The 16,094-nt window shown below is 62.5% G+C and overlaps 1 protein-coding gene across 6 annotated transcripts in view, besides 6 other annotated features; it reads left to right on the forward strand.

Moving 5' to 3' along the window:
- The window catches only part of NKD2 (NKD inhibitor of Wnt signaling pathway 2), a 30,142-nt gene extending 14,826 nt beyond the window's left edge, over positions 1-15,316 (forward strand). Inside the window, exons 4-11 of one of the 6 annotated variants that reach the window (NM_001271082.2) lie at positions 8,525-8,585; positions 9,745-9,872; positions 10,608-10,703; positions 11,129-11,276; positions 11,762-11,846; positions 12,630-12,757; positions 13,893-14,071; positions 14,178-15,316. In NM_001271082.2, the coding sequence (NP_001258011.1) occupies positions 8,525-8,585; positions 9,745-9,872; positions 10,608-10,703; positions 11,129-11,276; positions 11,762-11,846; positions 12,630-12,757; positions 13,893-14,041 (795 nt within the window). In that variant the 3' untranslated portion in view covers positions 14,042-14,071; positions 14,178-15,316. The other 5 variants (XM_005248382.4, NM_033120.4, XM_011514150.4 and 2 more) reach the window with 5 other exon arrangements.
- Positions 1,003-1,662: an enhancer, noted in NCBI's record as "NANOG-H3K4me1 hESC enhancer chr5:1024745-1025404 (GRCh37/hg19 assembly coordinates)". NCBI's record gives its function as "activates a minimal SCP1, AML or CMV promoter by ChIP-STARR-seq in naive and primed H9 embryonic stem cells {active_cell/tissue: H9 hESC(naive and primed)}" and the evidence as "EXISTENCE:reporter gene assay evidence [ECO:0000049][PMID:30033119]".
- Positions 1,883-2,385: an enhancer, noted in NCBI's record as "H3K27ac-H3K4me1 hESC enhancer chr5:1025625-1026127 (GRCh37/hg19 assembly coordinates)". NCBI's record gives its function as "activates a minimal SCP1, AML or CMV promoter by ChIP-STARR-seq in primed H9 embryonic stem cells {active_cell/tissue: H9 hESC(primed)}" and the evidence as "EXISTENCE:reporter gene assay evidence [ECO:0000049][PMID:30033119]".
- Positions 2,386-2,887: an enhancer, noted in NCBI's record as "H3K27ac-H3K4me1 hESC enhancer chr5:1026128-1026629 (GRCh37/hg19 assembly coordinates)". NCBI's record gives its function as "activates a minimal SCP1, AML or CMV promoter by ChIP-STARR-seq in primed H9 embryonic stem cells {active_cell/tissue: H9 hESC(primed)}" and the evidence as "EXISTENCE:reporter gene assay evidence [ECO:0000049][PMID:30033119]".
- Positions 2,888-3,390: an enhancer, noted in NCBI's record as "H3K27ac-H3K4me1 hESC enhancer chr5:1026630-1027132 (GRCh37/hg19 assembly coordinates)". NCBI's record gives its function as "activates a minimal SCP1, AML or CMV promoter by ChIP-STARR-seq in primed H9 embryonic stem cells {active_cell/tissue: H9 hESC(primed)}" and the evidence as "EXISTENCE:reporter gene assay evidence [ECO:0000049][PMID:30033119]".
- Positions 4,613-5,114: an enhancer, noted in NCBI's record as "H3K4me1 hESC enhancer chr5:1028355-1028856 (GRCh37/hg19 assembly coordinates)". NCBI's record gives its function as "activates a minimal SCP1, AML or CMV promoter by ChIP-STARR-seq in primed H9 embryonic stem cells {active_cell/tissue: H9 hESC(primed)}" and the evidence as "EXISTENCE:reporter gene assay evidence [ECO:0000049][PMID:30033119]".
- Positions 15,004-15,778: an enhancer, noted in NCBI's record as "H3K4me1 hESC enhancer chr5:1038746-1039520 (GRCh37/hg19 assembly coordinates)". NCBI's record gives its function as "activates a minimal SCP1, AML or CMV promoter by ChIP-STARR-seq in primed H9 embryonic stem cells {active_cell/tissue: H9 hESC(primed)}" and the evidence as "EXISTENCE:reporter gene assay evidence [ECO:0000049][PMID:30033119]".

Below are 16,094 nucleotides of genomic sequence, written 5' to 3' on the forward strand. Positions count from 1 at the left end.
ATTGTCCCTGCTCTTCCCACCCTCTGTGGGCGTCTCAGCCCATTGTCCCTGCTCTTCCCACCCTCTGTGGGCGTCTCAGCCCATTGCCCCTGCTCTTCCCACCCTCTGTGGGCGTCTCAGCCCATTGTCCCTGCTCTTCCCACTCTCTGTGGGCGTCCCAGCCCATTGTCCCTGCTCTTCCCACCCGCTGTGGGCGTCCCAGCCCATTGTCCCTGCTCTTCCCACCCGCTGTGGGCGTCCCAGCCCATTGTCCCTGCTCTTCCCACTCTCTGTGGGCGTCCCAGCCCATTGTCCCTGCTCTTCCCACTCTCTGTGGGCGTCCCAGCCCATTGTCCCTGCTCTTCCCACCCGCTGTGGGTGTCCCAGCCCTTTGTCCCTGCTCTTCCCACCCGCTGTGGGCGTCCCAGCCCGTTGTCCCTGCTCTTCCCACCCTCTGTGGGCGTCTCAGCCCATTGTCCCTGCTCTTCCCACCCGCTGTGGGCGTCCCAGCCCATTGTCCCTGCTCTTCCCACCCTCTGTGGGCGTCTCAGCCCATTGTCCCTGCTCTTCCCACTCTCTGTGGGCGTCCCAGCCCATTGTCCCTGCTCTTCCCACCCTCTGTGGGCGTCTCAGCCCATTGTCCCTGCTCTTCCCACCCTCTGTGGGCGTCTCAGCCCGTTGTCCCTGCTCTTCCCACCCGCTGTGGGCGTCCCAGCCCGTTGTCCCTGCTCTTCCCACCCTCTGTGGGCGTCTCAGCCCATTGTCCCTGCTCTTCCCACCCGCTGTGGGCGTCCCAGCCCGTTGTCCCTGCTCTTCCCACCCTCTGTGGGCGTCTCAGCCCATTGTCCCTGCTCTTCCCACCCGCTGTGGGCGTCCCAGCCCATTGTCCCTGCTCTTCCCACCCTCTGTGGGCGTCCCAGCCCATTGTCCCTGCTCTTCCCACCCGCTGTGGGCGTCTCAGCCCATTGTCCCTGCTCTTCCCACTCTCTGTGGGCATCCCAGCCCATTGTCCCTGCTCTTCCCACCCGCTGTGGGCGTCCCAGCCCTTTGTCCCTGCTCTTCCCACCCGCTGTGGGCGTCCCAGCCCATTGTCCCTGCTCTTCCCACCCTCTGTGGGCGTCTCAGCCCATTGTCCCTGCTCTTCCCACCCTCTGTGGGCGTCTCAGCCCGTTGTCCCTGCTCTTCCCACCCGCTGTGGGCGTCCCAGCCCTTTGTCCCTGCTCTTCCCACTCTCTGTGGGCGTCTCAGCCCGTTGTCCCTGCTCTTCCCACCCGCTGTGGGCGTCCCAGCCCTTTGTCCCTGCTCTTCCCACTCTCTGTGGGCGTCTCAGCCCATTGTCCCTGCTCTTCCCACCCTCTGTGGGCGTCTCAGCCCGTTGTCCCTGCTCTTCCCACCCGCTGTGGGCGTCTCAGCCCGTTGTCCCTGCTCTTCCCACCCTCTGTGGGTGTCCCAGCCCGTTGTCCCTGCTCTTCCCACCCGCTGTGGGCGTCTCAGCCCGTTGTCCCTGCTCTTCCCACCCGCTGTGGGCGTCCCAGCCCTTTGTCCCTGCTCTTCCCACTCTCTGTGGGCGTCTCAGCCCGTTGTCCCTGCTCTTCCCACCCTCTGTGGGCGTCTCAGCCCGTTGTCCCTGCTCTTCCCACCCGCTGTGGGCGTCTCAGCCCGTTGTCCCTGCTCTTCCCACCCGCTGTGGGCGTCTCAGCCCGTTGTCCCTGCTCTTCCCACCCGCTGTGGGCGTCTCAGCCCGTTGTCCCTGCTCTTCCCACCCGCTGTGGGCGTCTCAGCCCGTTGTCCCTGCTCTTCCCACCCGCTGTGGGCGTCTCAGCCCGTTGTCCCTGCTCTTCCCACCCGCTGTGGGCGTCTCAGCCCGTTGTCCCTGCTCTTCCCACCCGCTGTGGGCGTCTCAGCCCGTTGTCCCTGCTCTTCCCACTCTCTGTGGGCGTCCCAGCCCGTTGTCCCTGCTCTTCCCACCCTCTGTGGGCGTCTCAGCCCGTTGTCCCTGCTCTTCCCACCCTCTGTGGGCGTCCCAGCCCGTTGTCCCTGCTCTTCCCACCCTCTGTGGGTGTCTCAGCCCATTGTCCCTGCTCTTCCCACCCTCTGTGGGCGTCCCAGCCCATTGTCCCTGCTCTTCCCACCCGCTGTGGGCGTCTCAGCCCATTGTCCCTGCTCTTCCCACCCTCTGTGGGTGCCCCAGCCCATTGTCCCTGCTCTTCCCACCCGCTAGTGGGCATCTCAGCCCGTTGTCCCTGCTCTTCCCACCCGCTGTGGGCGTCCCAGCCCGTTGTCCCTGCTCTTCCCACCCTCTGTGGGCGTCCCAGCCCATTGTCCCTGCTCTTCCCACCCGCTGTGGGCGTCTCAGCCCATTGTCCCTGCTCTTCCCACCCGCTAGTGGGCGTCTCAGCCCATTGTCCCTGCTCTTCCCACCCTCTGTGGGCGTCCCAGCCCATTGTCCCTGCTCTTCCCACCCGCTGTGGGCGTCTCAGCCCATTGTCCCTGCTCTTCCCACCCTCTGTGGGTGCCCCAGCCCATTGTCCCTGCTCTTCCCACCCGCTGTGGGCGTCCCAGCCCTTTGTCCCTGCTCTTCCCACCCTCTGTGGGCGTCTCAGCCCATTGTCCCTGCTCTTCCCACCTGCTAGTGGGCGTCTCAGCCCATTGTCCCTGCTCTTCCCACCCGCTGTGGGCGTCCCAGCCCTTTGTCCCTGCTCTTCCCACCCGCTGTGGGCGTCTCGGTCCATTGTCCCTGCTCTTCCCACCCTCTGTGGGCGTCTCGGCCCATTGTCCCTGCTCTTCCCACCCGCTGTGGGCGTCCCAGCCCTTTTTCCCTGCTCTTCCCACCCTCTGTGGGCGTCTCAGCCCATTGTCCCTGCTCTTCCCATCTGCTGTGGGCGTCTCAGCCCATTGTCCCTGCTCTTCCCACCCGCTGTGGGTGTCCCAGCCCATTGTCCCTGCTCTTCCCACCCTCTGTGGGTGTCCCAGCCCATTGTCCCTGCTCTTCCCACCCACTGTGGGTGTCCCAGCCCTTTGGGTTCCTTGGGATCCAGACATCACCCTCAGCCTTTTCCTGAGAGGCCCAGCTCCAGCCCGTGTGCCATATCCCAAAGCTCCCCTCCCTGAGCCACCTGCCAGGCACTCACTTCATTCTACCACGTCCAGCATCCTCCCAGCCCCCGAGGCAGGAGGTCACTGCTGGCCTGGACGTGGCCTTGGTCCTGCCCAGCCGCATCCCAGGTGCCTCCCGAGTGCCCTGAGGTGGCGGTGGCTGCAGCCTAAGCTTGGCAGGCGCCTACCTTGCTCCTCACCACTTGGCATCCTGCCTGAGCCCCACAAACTGGCCCTCGATGCCACGACAGCCCCGTAATTCTGGCAGCCTTGGGCCTGGCAGCCCAGTTTGTAGGATTAGCCCTGCAGAACAGGGTGGCCACAGGGGTGGTGACAATGACCACAGGACATGGGCCAGGCTGTCACCCCGGCCCTTCTTTCCAGCTCCTGGGGGCCCCCTGGGCACAGCTCGAGAGCCACTGCTTGACCTGCCAAGGACAGGGAGGTGCACCAAGGCCATTTCCCCAGTGGCAGAAACTTCGAGCCAGGGGCTCCACCCAACAGGGCCGTCCCCACCACAGTGCAAGGTGGCCAAGGCGCTGGGGAGCCAGAGTGCAGCCTGGGAGGTGCCTATGGATCTAGGGGTGCCAGGTGCTGCTGGTGGCGATGAAAGCTGTAGGAGAGGCCCGTCCTGTGTCAGGCGGTGTAGGAGCTGTGCCTTCTGGATAACGTCCCAGACTTGGGGTTCCACACCCACTCCAGAGGGACCCGGGAGCCCCGAGGTCTGGAAAATGCTGCCCGACACGCCCACCCAGTTCTCTGAAGCCTTCCTCTCTGTCTCTCTCCTCCCTCCCCGCTCCCTCTCCTCTGCCTCGGCTCCCATCACCTCCACCCTCCCAACTCGTGGGGAGACGTTGGGCTCCAGGGGATGCTCCCAGCCTGGCCTCCTGGACACGCTGTGGCCTTTGCCTGTTGATCGGGGTTGGTATTTCTAGAACCCTAGACCAGGGTTTAGGTCATGTCCCAGAGGGCCGTGACTTCACTGTGGACACCCGTGTGTTTCCCACCGGGCGTTCCACCAGAGCTGTGGCCAACAGCTGCCCTCACGAGGCCCAGGAGGGGACAGCGCCTCCTTGCATTTGCGAGACCTGGGAAAGGTGCCTGGCCGTGCCCACCTGTCCACTGGGAAGAGGACATCGCCCGCTCCAGGTGGCTCCCAGAGGTGCCTGCACCGGCACTTCCAGGTTGAAGGCCACCAGGATGATACCTGTGTTGCAGCTGCCTGGCGCCTCTGCAGGGGTTCCGACAGACGGGGTGGCTCTGGGGGGCAGTGGTGCTCCAGCTGCTGGGCGCTGCCGAGCGCTGGCACGTGGGGAACACACTCCTTTTGACTTTTCCAAGGAAGCTGGGGGTTGAGGTTTTGTGAGCGTCTCTCCGTGCCTGGCCGCCTGTGGAGGCTGTGGTTTGCATCTTACCGTCTGGGCTGGGACCAGGACGGGGGCTGGGTGCTGGGAGGACGAAGCGCTCAGCCCGGTGCCTGTGGCGGGGATCAGATGTCCTCACTGTCGTGGCGGGGACGTGGACGGTGGCCTCGGGGTGGTTGGCTCACAGACCAGGGTGGCCTTCCTGAGCATCCCGTAGGGCCGTGGGACCTGAAGCAAAGGCTACCTGTTGTTGACGCCGTGTGACAGACGCCTGCTGCTCATGCAGCTGCGAGGCTATGGGTTCTGGTCCCGGAGGCCTCCGTGGGTTGGGGTCAGACCCTCCTCCCAAATCTGAGGTGATGCTGAGTGAGGGAGTGGGGTTGAGCTGCTCAGGCAGATGCGGCTGCTTTCCTTATGGGATGAGGCCCCACGGGGCAGGCCCACGGTCGGGTTCCTGTCCTCCCAGGGGCCAGGAGAGCCCCCGGCATCACAGGAGGATGCCATGGGCGGGAGGGGACAACGGGCATGGGGAGGTCTGCAGGCCAGCCGTGGGGTCCCTGCTGACCTGGAGGGTTCTCAGGGATGCAGAGCAGTGGGACAGGCTAGAGGAGGCGCCTAGGCACCCCAAACCGGAAGTGCAGCTGGGACAGGAAGGGGGGCGGAACAGGTTGGGGGATCACAGGAGGGTCTCGCTAGGGACAGGGCCAGAGGGATTGAGGGGGAGGGTTGGGCCCTCGGGAGGGAGTGAGGGTAGGGTGGGTCCTCAGGAGGGCGAGGCCAGGTGGGGGCTGCATCTCAGGGAGGGGCGCCCGCCCTGGGAAGCTGAGGCTTTGGTGGGTGCCGGGGCACATTGGGCCAGGCCTGCTGGGATCCTGTGTGCGGACTTGGCCTCTCAGAAGGTCTTCCCAGTGGGGAGGGGCTGCACATCTGGCCAGCGGCCCGGGGGCAGGTTTTATAAGTTGCAATTAAAGCTCTTGGCCTTCTAGTTAACCGAGGCAGCGTAGATTAAAGGGCAGTTTTATGCAACCAGGACGGATCTGATGAAATCACCAGCCACAGAGATTGGAGTGGCTTTGACTGTAGATGCTCATTTTTTCCCGTTTGATCCTCCCTGCATCTCAGAGGTAGCTGTTGACCTGGGTCTTAGAAAAAACACTGTGCGTTCGAGCGCTGAGAATTCTAGGGAATAAGGGGATATTTTTTCAATGTGGTTTTCCTCTGTGTTAGGAACTCAGTCATGGGCTGGTTGGTGTAGTATTGGCTGGTTGATACAGCGTTGGCTGGTTGGTGCAGCGTTGGCTACATGGTGTAGTTTTGGTTGGTTATTACAGTTTTTATTGGTTATTGTAGCTTGGCTGGTTGGTGTAGCGCGCGGAGCGTTTCCAGACATCAAACCACGGGTCTGTGCAGATTCTGTCTTGAACAGCTGCGCCCCTCCTTCTGTCACCCTGTGCATTTACACTCCTGTCTGTAACCAGTGAAATCCCCCACAAGTGCGCTCAGAATTTTTAGAAACACGGCACGGGCTGCGTTTACATTTTCACTGTATTAGCTTTATGCGTGGAGTGCGTGATGTGCTGTTTCTCACTTGACATGTTCAGCAAATCGTGGGAAACACTTAAAAATCCTTAAAAAATACTCCACCCCGTCCAACCCGTCGCCCGCTGCCTGTCCTCAGGAGCCACCGCACCTCCGGCTCCTCTGAGTTCTGGCACTTTCCAGGAAGCCACTGCTGCTGCCCCTCATCTGGGCAGCGATGTGGCCTCCATGAGTGACCTCAGTTAAGGCTCTTTAGCAAGGAGTGCTGTACGCGCTGGCCCTCAGGCCCCAGGGCACCTCACTGCTATCTGTAAGGAGGCTCAGGGCACCCAGCACCATGCAGGAGGCCTGAGCTCTGCCTGCTGGTCTGATGGGAGGTGAACTGGGTGCCTGAGGGGGGATTGTGGTGCGGGGGGGGGGGTACTGAGAACCCTGGGGGCTTCACCACACAGGTCCCCTGCACCCTCCCCACATCCCAGAGGAGAAGGTCTGGGCTGGAGCTCCCAAGGGTAGACAGGGATGCCTCGGGGCACCCACCTCAGCATTTAGGGTCACCTTCCCCTCCCTACCAGCCCTCCACAGTGGCAGTGCCTGCGTCCCTCAGCCTGGGCATTGGTGGTCTTGGCTGCCCCCCTCCACAGTGACAGTGCCTGCGTCCCTCAGCCTGGGCATTGGTGGCCTTGGCCCCCCTCCGCAGTGGCAGTGCCTGCATCCCTCAGCCTGGGCATTGGTGGCCTTGGCTGCCCTTATGACACCATTTCTGTCGGCAGCCACCTCCAAGCACCTGCACGAGTCCACCTGAGGGGCTGTAGAGCTCCTAGTATCTGGTCCATCCCACGAGGATTCTGTGCCCATGGGGGCTGCAACTCTGGGGCTCTGGGCACTGCTCTGCACTCCATGGAAGCCCACGACTGCAGCCTCACCCATTATTCTGATTTTGAAATAAATAAATAAATAACTACAGCCTGGGTTTTAGAGATGATTTGGTTTTATGCCAGCGTCCACCTGGACAGAGCTTTTCCCTCACAGCGGTGCCTCCCTGCTGTGTGGATGTACAAAGGCCTCGCCGGGCTGGGCTCATGGGGCCCCTCAGGCTGCAGCAGCCAGTCCCGGAATGTCGGGACTGCAGCCCCCAGGAGGGAGGCCTACTTTTTAATAATCAGCTGTTTTGTTTCTTATTAAAATGAGGGCAAGCTCTCCTGCCTCCCGCTGGGAGCTGCCCACCCTGCCTTGGCACCGCCCTGGGCGGCCAGCAGGAGACCTCAGCTCTGGGGGGCCCTTGGCTCAGCCACAAGGGGGGCTGGGGGCCTGGGTCTCACTCAACAATATTCAGCCTCGGCAGCGCCACCTTAGTGCCCATGTGTGGGTGGGGGTCTGGTCCCTCTCTCCCCACCCAAGTTCTGGGGTGGCAGCTGGCCAGCCTGGAACCTTCCACCATACCCTGTTTGGACCCTGGCCAGTGACCACGGTGGCAGGAGGCGCTTGGGGGGGTCCAGGTGCCCTCGAGGGTGACCCTGCTCAGCCTCCTGCCTGGGCCAGACTCCAGGAACCCCAGGGACCCCGGCAGGGCAGACAGCCCCATAGGAGGTCAGAAGAGATGAGGGGCACATGACCCCTGGTCAGGAGGAAAGGATGAAGCCGTGGGGACTGTGAGGGCAGTCCCAGCTGGGCAGCCCTGGGGTCCTGTGTCCACCCACGGAGACACCAACTCGGCACCAAAGTCATCTCCAGGGTCAGGCTCTGGCCGTCCAGGTGGACGGGACTGAGCTCTGTGCTGTATCTCCTTGTGGGCTTTCCACGGCTTTCCAGGGACCTGGAATCAGAAGCAGAAACACAGCTGCCCATCCCTCCCGCCCGCCTGCCCGAGAGCTGCCTGCTCTCAGGAAATGCTCCAGGGCGGTGTGTGCTGGGCCGAGGGGCTCCGCACCTCCACCACTGCGCAAGGCCCCTGCCCTGACCACAGGTCTGTCTCCTTCTCTGTGTCCTGAAGGCTGCAGATTATTCATGAGAACCATGTGAGCTTCGGCTCAGCTGAAACACCGCTGGGATGTGTTTGAAGTTTTTCCCCATTTTCCGTAACTGGTCTCGGCCGGCAGCCCTATAAGAGGCATGTTGGGGTCCTGGGCAGCCATGCGGGCAGCGGCTGGAGTCCTCGTGTCAGGCTCCAGTGGGCAGTGCTGGGAGCAGGCCCCAGAGCAAAGGGGCAGTGTGTCTCCTCTTGCATTTAGGGTAATCCAGCATGGGGGCCCTGGCCAAGGGGATCCCCAGGGCAGCACTGACTGAAGGGGTCATTCCAGGCAGCTGCATCTTCTACCTGGAAATGCTTTGGGGAACCTGACAACACAGGAATGTCTGTGTGTTTTGCTTCCTAAAATCTGAGGCTGAGTGGGGCACGAAGGGTTGGTGTTTCTGGACCCAGAGATTGAGACGCCCCAGGAGGCCTGAGGCGAGTGTCAGGCTCCAGTCCAGCCGCCCAGAGCTCCTGCCCATCTCCCCCGCCTGCCCACTGAGCTATGTGGCCACTGACTGCCCCGTTCTTCCTGCAGGAGCTGCCCAATGGGGACCCCAAGGAGGGGCCTTTCCGGGAGGACCAGTGTCCCCTACAGGGTGAGTGCAGCTCCCGCAGCCCTCCCTCCCCAAACTCACAGACTTCATCCCGTACCAAGGCAACGCCGAAAACCACCCTTAAAACAACCCCGTGTGCGGAGCGAGGGCACTTCCCAGGCTTAGACGCACTTTGTTCTTAAAAAGCCTTGGCAGCACAACTCACAGGGTCCTCGCTGGACTGGCAGCTGCGATCTGGCAGCAGAGACCAAAAAGGCCTGTCCCATGGGCAGAGCCCTAAGCGTTACCTTTATGTGTTTGGAGTCTCTGTGAGCCTGTGTTTGTGGATGGGGGTGGCTCTGTATAAAGGGGACCTGTGAATTTTCAAGTTAGCCCTGGGCTGGAGGATGTGTGAGATGCTGGCCCAGCCTAAGTCACTGCCACGCGTGTATGCCTCAGTGGCACCAGTCCTACCTGTGGCGCGTGGCAGGTCAGCACTTGGCTTACCTGTGGGTCTGTGGGAGGGTGCTGGGAGGCCAGCAAGCAGGGCCACCTTCGGATGGCTGCTGAAGCCAAGAGAGGCACCCACACCCCCTCAGTGGGAAGGCAGGCCCAGAGCATCGTCCCAGCTCAGGCTCGACGTGCACCTGTCTGCAGGTGCTGAGCCCGGACAGTCCCACACTCCTATCCTGGGGACGCAGCTTGCAAGTGCTGGAGAATAACGGAATAATTGTGCTCCAGAAACCAGAGGACTGTTCATCCATCCTGCCCAGAGGCTGCGGGGAGGGGGCCGCCTGTTGACACACTCAGTGCACAGGTGGCCTGTGTGGCCTGTGGGCTCAGTGCTAGGATTCTGGAGTGGAGGGCCGGAGGGACTGTGTCTATGGGGAGGGGGCCCAATGATGACACAGGGAGCATCTCCTGGAGGCCCAGGCTATGTTCCCCTATCTGTGCTCCTCGGAGTCTGCTGCACCCCCAGCTCTGAGGTGGTGGTTGCAGTTGGGGGCCACCGTGGGCTGGTGAGAGGAGGGCACACCCGGCTGTGGCTGGCCGGGATAGGGCCTCCCTCCCCTCCGCAGGGGTCCCAAGATCGGGCTCTCAGCTCAGGCCCGTCTGGACAGGATCATGGTGTGGTGAGGGGAGAGCAGCGAGGGTCCCCAATGGCGGGCCACATCCTCCATGTGCCCTCTGCCAGCCCCTTCGCCTCCTCTTGTCCCCCTAGTGGCACTCCCCGCTGAGAAAGCTGAGGGCCGCGAGCACCCGGGACAACTCCTCAGCGCAGATGACGGAGAGAGGGCAGCAAACCGCGAGGGCCCGCGAGGACCGGGCGGGCAGCGCCTCAACATTGACGTGGGTCTCTCTCCGGCCTCACTTGCGGGAACACGTCCCTGGGGCCGGGGGCTCAGGGACAGGCATGTGTTGCCCTAAACTGGGCATCTGTGGACACGGCGTAGTTCACTCAGTCTTCCCCACAGTTCACCCCGTTTAAGGCATTGAAGCAGAACTTGAATGTGCAAGCCAAAGTCAGCAGGAGCCAGAGAGTGCAGGATGTTGCTGTGAATTTGGCCAAAACTGACTGGTCTGGCATCAAATAACTTGAGCCGCATTCCCAGCCTTGGTGCCCTTGGCACTACAGGAGTAATGCCAAAGCTGACTTGACGGACAGCCCGACTCTCTGCCCGCTGGAGGCAGGGCACAGGGCTTCCGTTTCCCGGGAGGGCTCAGGGAGGACTGGGGTCTCCGTGTCCAGTCAAGATTTCTGGAATTGACAACACTTGACGGCCAGTGTGTCCTCTTCTCCTTCTGGGTGACGTGGAGTGCTTGCATGAGCTGAGATAGGTGTCACTGTGGGGGAACCGAATCACAGGGCACAAAGCTGGGTCCCCCCAAGAAGGGCTGGAGCTGGGCAAGAAGGGGTCTGCTGGTTCAGGGCTTGAGCTCCAGCCACGCTGCCCTCTAGGCTCCGCCTTTCCTAGCTGGCATGAGGGACCCCTGGGAAAGGCCCCAGAAGATCCTTCCCCCTGTGGAGTTGGGCGTGTTGGCGTGGGTAGGAGGCGAGGTCCCGGCCCCCACGTCCCCCCACAGGCACTCCAGTGCGATGTCTCGGTGGAGGAGGACGACCGCCAGGAGTGGACGTTCACGCTCTATGACTTTGACAACTGCGGGAAGGTCACCAGGGAGGTAGGTGAGCTTGTGTTTGCGTCAGGTCCACAGTAGTAGACAGACGGGGCAGACAGACTGTGCTGGCCTCGCGATACCTCAGGGGGCAGGAGGGGACCTGCCTGCTGCGAGGTCCTCATGCCAGCTGGGCTTGCGTCTCCCCAGGGCCCAGTTCACGTGTGTTTCTGGGCCGAGCCTGCGCCGCCCATTTCTGCGGCTGTGCTTCCCACACTGCAAGGCTGCCCTCAGGGCACTGGAGGCGCTCACAGGGCCACCTGGGCAGACCCAGGCTGCTCCGAGAAGATGCCTGTGTTGGTTCCTGTGGTCTGTTGGTGGATGCAAGGATGGCATAGGAAGGGGCGGGGGCTGGATGTGTTTTCTGGCAGGGAGGGCGGGTGGTGTCCCCTGGGGTCTGCTCTGTCAGTGAAACTGATGCCGGGCCCCAGGACATGTCCAGCCTCATGCACACCATCTATGAGGTCGTGGATGCCTCGGTCAACCACTCCTCGGGCAGCAGCAAGACCCTCCGTGTGAAGCTAACCGTCAGCCCTGAGCCCTCCAGCAAGAGGAAGGAGGGTCCTCCTGCTGGCCAGGGTGAGTGAGGCCTGGGCACACACAGAGGACCCTACCCAACATTGGCAGGGGCCTAAGCTGTGTGCGCGGGACAGGGAGGGACAAGTGAGTGGATGGAGGAGTGAGTGGGTGAATGGATGGGTGAGTGAGTGAATGAGTAAGTGGGTGAGTGAGTGAGAGAGTAAGTGGGTGAGTAAGCAGATTAATGAATGAATGAACAAGTGAGTGAGTTAATGAATGAGTGAACAAGTGAGTTAATGAATGAATGAGTTAATGAATGAGTGAGTGTTAATGAATGAGTGAGTTAATGAGTGAACGAGTGAGTTAATGAATGAGTGAACGAGTGAGTTAATGAATGAGTGAACAAGTGAGTGAGTTAATGAATGAGTGAACCAGTGAGTTAATGAATGAATGAATGAGTGAGTGAGTTAATGAATGAGTGAATGAATGAGTGAATGCTGAATGAAGGAGGGAGGGAGTGAGTAATGGCAGGACCCCCCTTTCAGACCGGGAGCCCACCCGTTGCAGGATGGAGGGTGAACTGGCAGAGGAGCCAAGGGTGGCTGACAGGAGGTTGTCTGCACACGTCAGGTGAGGGCTGGGGTGCCAGGGTGGGGCTGTGCCTTAGGCGGGGGCACCCTGGCCACACCCCTGCTTCCCGCAGGCCACAGGCCACAGGCCACACACCATCCTCTAGGTCAGACCTGCAGGGGGCACCTGGTCCAGCAGCTCTGTGGGGCATGGGCCCTTCCAGCATCTGGCACCCTGGCTGAGCTGGGCCCCCAAGTCTGTCTGAGCAGAGGGCTTTGAGGGGCAGCAGCCACAGCGGCCTTGACACCCTCAGTCTGGACTTGCTGTGGCTCACTGTGGCTCCCTGTGGCTCCACTCAGCAGCTTTGGGGGCAACAGGGCTGGGGGTGGCTGGGGCAGTGGCTGAGGGTGGCTGGGGCAGTGGTTGGGGGTGGCTGGGGCAATGGCTAAGGGTGGCTGGGGTAGTGGCTGGGGATGGCTCAGGCAGTGGCTGAGGCAGTGGCTGGGGGTGGCTGGGTGGCTGGGGTGTGGCTGGCGCAGTGGCTACAGTGGTCCCAGAGTGGTGATCAGGTGCCACTACAGCATGAGCCACTCCCTAGAGCACCTGCGGCTCTGGTGCCTGGGAGGGAGTTCACAGGGTTCTGGGGGTCGGCTGTGACCTTGTTTCTCTGGACGGCACTTGACTGTCTGTGCCCAGGCGTCCACTCTCCTTCCTGCTCTGCGAGGAGGTGGGTGCTGGTCAGGATGCACCCCGGACCCCTGCCGCCTGCTGTAGGCACCCCGTCATCAGGGGTGCGCCACCCAGTCTGTGCGGGGGTCAGGCCCTTCTCTGTGCTCCAAGCAGGAGGCCCAGTACTGACCCCCAGCCCTGCTCGGAGCGGGGGCCCTACTGCGTGGACGAGAACACGGAGCGCAGAAACCACTACCTGGACCTCGCCGGGATTGAGAACTACACGTCCAGATTCGGCCCTGGTAGGTCCTGGAGGCCACCCTGGGCGTGAGGCCCTGGCTGTGGGTGCCCATCGAAGGTCTTGATTCCCACAGCCCTGAGTGCAGGGGGCCCCTCCCTGCCCTGCCCCGCCCCCCCCCAACCCCCCCCACCCCACCCCACCCAGGACGGCACCCAGGTCCTTCCACAGCTACCTGTTGGTCATGGCTGCCTCCTGGCTACCTGTTGGTGCCGCCTGAAAGCAAGGCGGGCGTCCCGTCCAGGTGTGTGTATGTGGCGGATGCGGGGGTGCCTGGTTCAAAGTGAGATGGAAGACATTGGGTTTGCATTCAGGGAAACCCTGCCTTGGGGTGAGAAGTCAGTATTTTAGGGTGGAATCACCGGCTCAGTCAGCAGAGGGGGTCGTCCAGTAGTGTGGATGGCCGGCAGTGTGGACAACAGGCAGTGTGGACGGCAGGGCAGGCAGTGTGGACAACAGACAGTGTCGACAGCAGGCAGTGTGGATGGCAGGCAGGCAGTGTGGATGGCGGGCAGTGTGGATGGCAGCCAGGCAGTGTGGACGGCGGGCAGTGTGGATGGCAGGCGGGCAGTGTGGACGGCGGGCAGTGTGGACAGCGAGCAGTGTGGATGGCAGGCAGGCAGTGTGGATGGCGGGCAATGTGGATGGCAGGCAGGCAGTGTGGACGGCGGGCAGTGTGGATGGCAGCCAGGCAGTGTGGACAGCAGGCAGTGTGGATGGCAGGCAAGCAGGTGGATGGCAGGCAGCATAGATAGCTGGCAGCCTGCCCAGCACACGTTTATTTCCGACTAGCAGCACCCCTATGTGGCCTGCATGGAGATTCTTGTACCAAAGCCCAGGCCACTCCCCAAGGGCTGGGGCCAAGTCTCTCTCATAACCCCGGCTTCAGGAGTCCCCAGGGGCAGGAGGGGTGGAGCTGGATCAGGGTCATGGGGGCTCAGTGCGCTGTGTGCTGACCCTGCCCTCCTTGGCCGCGCTCTGCACAGGAGCTGCACCCTACAGGGCTCGCACTGCACGTTGTGAAGGTGGCAGTCCTGAGTCCTTCTCAAATCTATTTTGTAATGAGGGTTTAGGGGATGCGAATCCTGGGGGCGCCCTCCCTGATATAACCTGGCTTTCTGCCACGGCGCCCCAAGCAGGGTCTCAGCTGTGCGAGAAGAGAAGCTCCGCTCCCAGGACACACAGTGGGGACAAGGCTAGAGGAGTCGGCCTTTGCAGGGAGCTGTGGAGCCAGGCAGGTCACCCACAGTGGCCAGGCCCCTTCCCTTCAGGGCTGGTGGCCGTCTGACTGCAGACTTGGCTAACAGACTGGCCTCAGGTGGGACCCCTGGCGCAGCTCTTCCAGTGGGCCCTGGGCCGTTTCTGAGGAGATGGGAACCTGAGCCTGCACTCCCAGGGCCTCACACTCTGACCTGTGTCCGCAGGGTCCCCTCCTGTGCAAGCAAAGCAGGAGCCCCAGGGCAGGGCCTCGCACCTCCAGGCCCGGTCCCGCTCCCAGGAGCCAGATACACATGCCGTACACCACCGCAGGTCACAGGTGCTGGTGGAACACGTCGTGCCAGCCTCGGAGCCTGCTGCCCGGGCCCTGGACACGCAGCCCCGGCCGAAGGGGCCGGAGAAGCAGTTCCTCAAGTCCCCCAAGGGCTCCGGGAAGCCGCCTGGGGTGCCAGCCAGCAGCAAGTCCGGGAAAGCCTTCAGCTACTACCTGCCGGCCGTCCTGCCGCCCCAGGCCCCTCAGGACGGCCACCACCTCCCGCAGCCCCCACCGCCACCCTACGGCCACAAGCGGTACCGCCAAAAGGGCAGGGAGGGCCACTCGCCACTCAAGGCCCCACACGCTCAGCCTGCCACAGTGGAGCACGAGGTGGTGCGGGACCTGCCGCCCACGCCAGCAGGAGAGGGCTACGCGGTGCCAGTGATCCAGCGGCACGAGCACCACCACCACCACGAGCACCACCACCACCACCACCACCACCACTTCCACCCGTCCTAGCGCCACTGCCAAGCACACCTCGCTCCCAGCACACCACAGCCCGCGACCTCAGGGCAGGGAGCAGAGCAGCTGCCGGCTGTGTGCCCATGGGGAGCCCAGCCCCCACCCCCCACCTCCGACAGCAAACAGCAACTGACTGCAGGTGCTGGCATGATGGAGGTGGTGCACCTTGGACACGTGGACAAGGCCCAGGCGCCCTCTGCTCTTCTGCCCTCGATGCCACATGGCGGTGAACACATCTGAAGCCACTATGTTTCCTGGCTCTAAGGCTCGTCTGTGTAACCCATAAAACCTGCTTTGATTCCAAAATGAGGCCCTGGAGTGCGCAAGGAGTGCCCGGATGCTTGGGGTGGGTGTTCCTCCCGGGGCTTCAAGGGGTGACTGCTGTAGGCTGTCCCAGTGCGAGGCCGGGAGCGAATGGAAAAGCTGAGGCTTTGCCTGGCTTGTGCATCATGAAGTGAGAGGGGACAGGGCCGGTGGGGGGAAGCAGCTTGTGCTTAGCAGGGAGCATCCGCGGCTCCCCGCAGGAGGCCAAGCAGCAGAAGGCAGCAGTGCTAGAAAGAGAAGTGCCAGAGTAGGGAGTGCAGACCAGTGAGGAGGGGCCACAGGGCACAGGGGGAGCCCACACCAGTGAGGAGGGGCCACAGGGCAGCATGCGGCAGTGGAGGTAGCCCCTGGTCCCGGAGCCACAGCAGCTCAGGTGCATGCAGGACACAGTCAAGGCGGGGAGGGGCAGGGCAACAGATGCTGGGGAGAGGGAGAGGCTCGCGCTGGGTGCGGCTCAGAACACGGGGACTTGCACATTCACGGTCCCAACACTCACGGGGCGACTTCTGTGACATGTCAGCTTTGGAGAAAGGTGTGTCCTGCAAGGGTCAGGAGACGGTTGCAGGCCAGAAGGACGTCCCAGTGACGTTTCGGAGTCTTGCAGCCTGCAGGGGTCCATGTGGTTACCCGGAACAGGAACCGTGGGGGTGCTTTCCGGGACCCAGGGGGCCCGTGCCAATGTTTCTGAGTCTTGGAGCCTGCAGGGGTCCACGTGTTTACCCTGAACAGGAACATGCGGGTGTTTTCCGGAATCTGGCGAGGCCGCGCGGCAGTTTTGCATTTACATTCCTTGTTTTGTTTTTAAGGATAAAGCGGTGCTGGGTGGGGTCTGTGGGAGGGGTTTGAGCCATGGCGGAAGATCCCTGGTGAATGGCTTGGATGTTTGTCGCCTCCGAGTCTCATGCTGAGACGTGATCCGTGGTGCTGGGTGGGGTCTGTGGGAGGGGTTTGAGCCATGGCGGAAGATCCCTGGTGAATGGCTTGGATGTTTGTCGCCTCCGAGTCTCATGCTGAGACGTGA

The sequence above is a fragment of the Homo sapiens genome, chromosome 5, assembly GCF_000001405.40.
Source record: "Homo sapiens chromosome 5, GRCh38.p14 Primary Assembly".
Classification (NCBI taxonomy): Eukaryota; Metazoa; Chordata; class Mammalia; order Primates; family Hominidae; genus Homo; species Homo sapiens.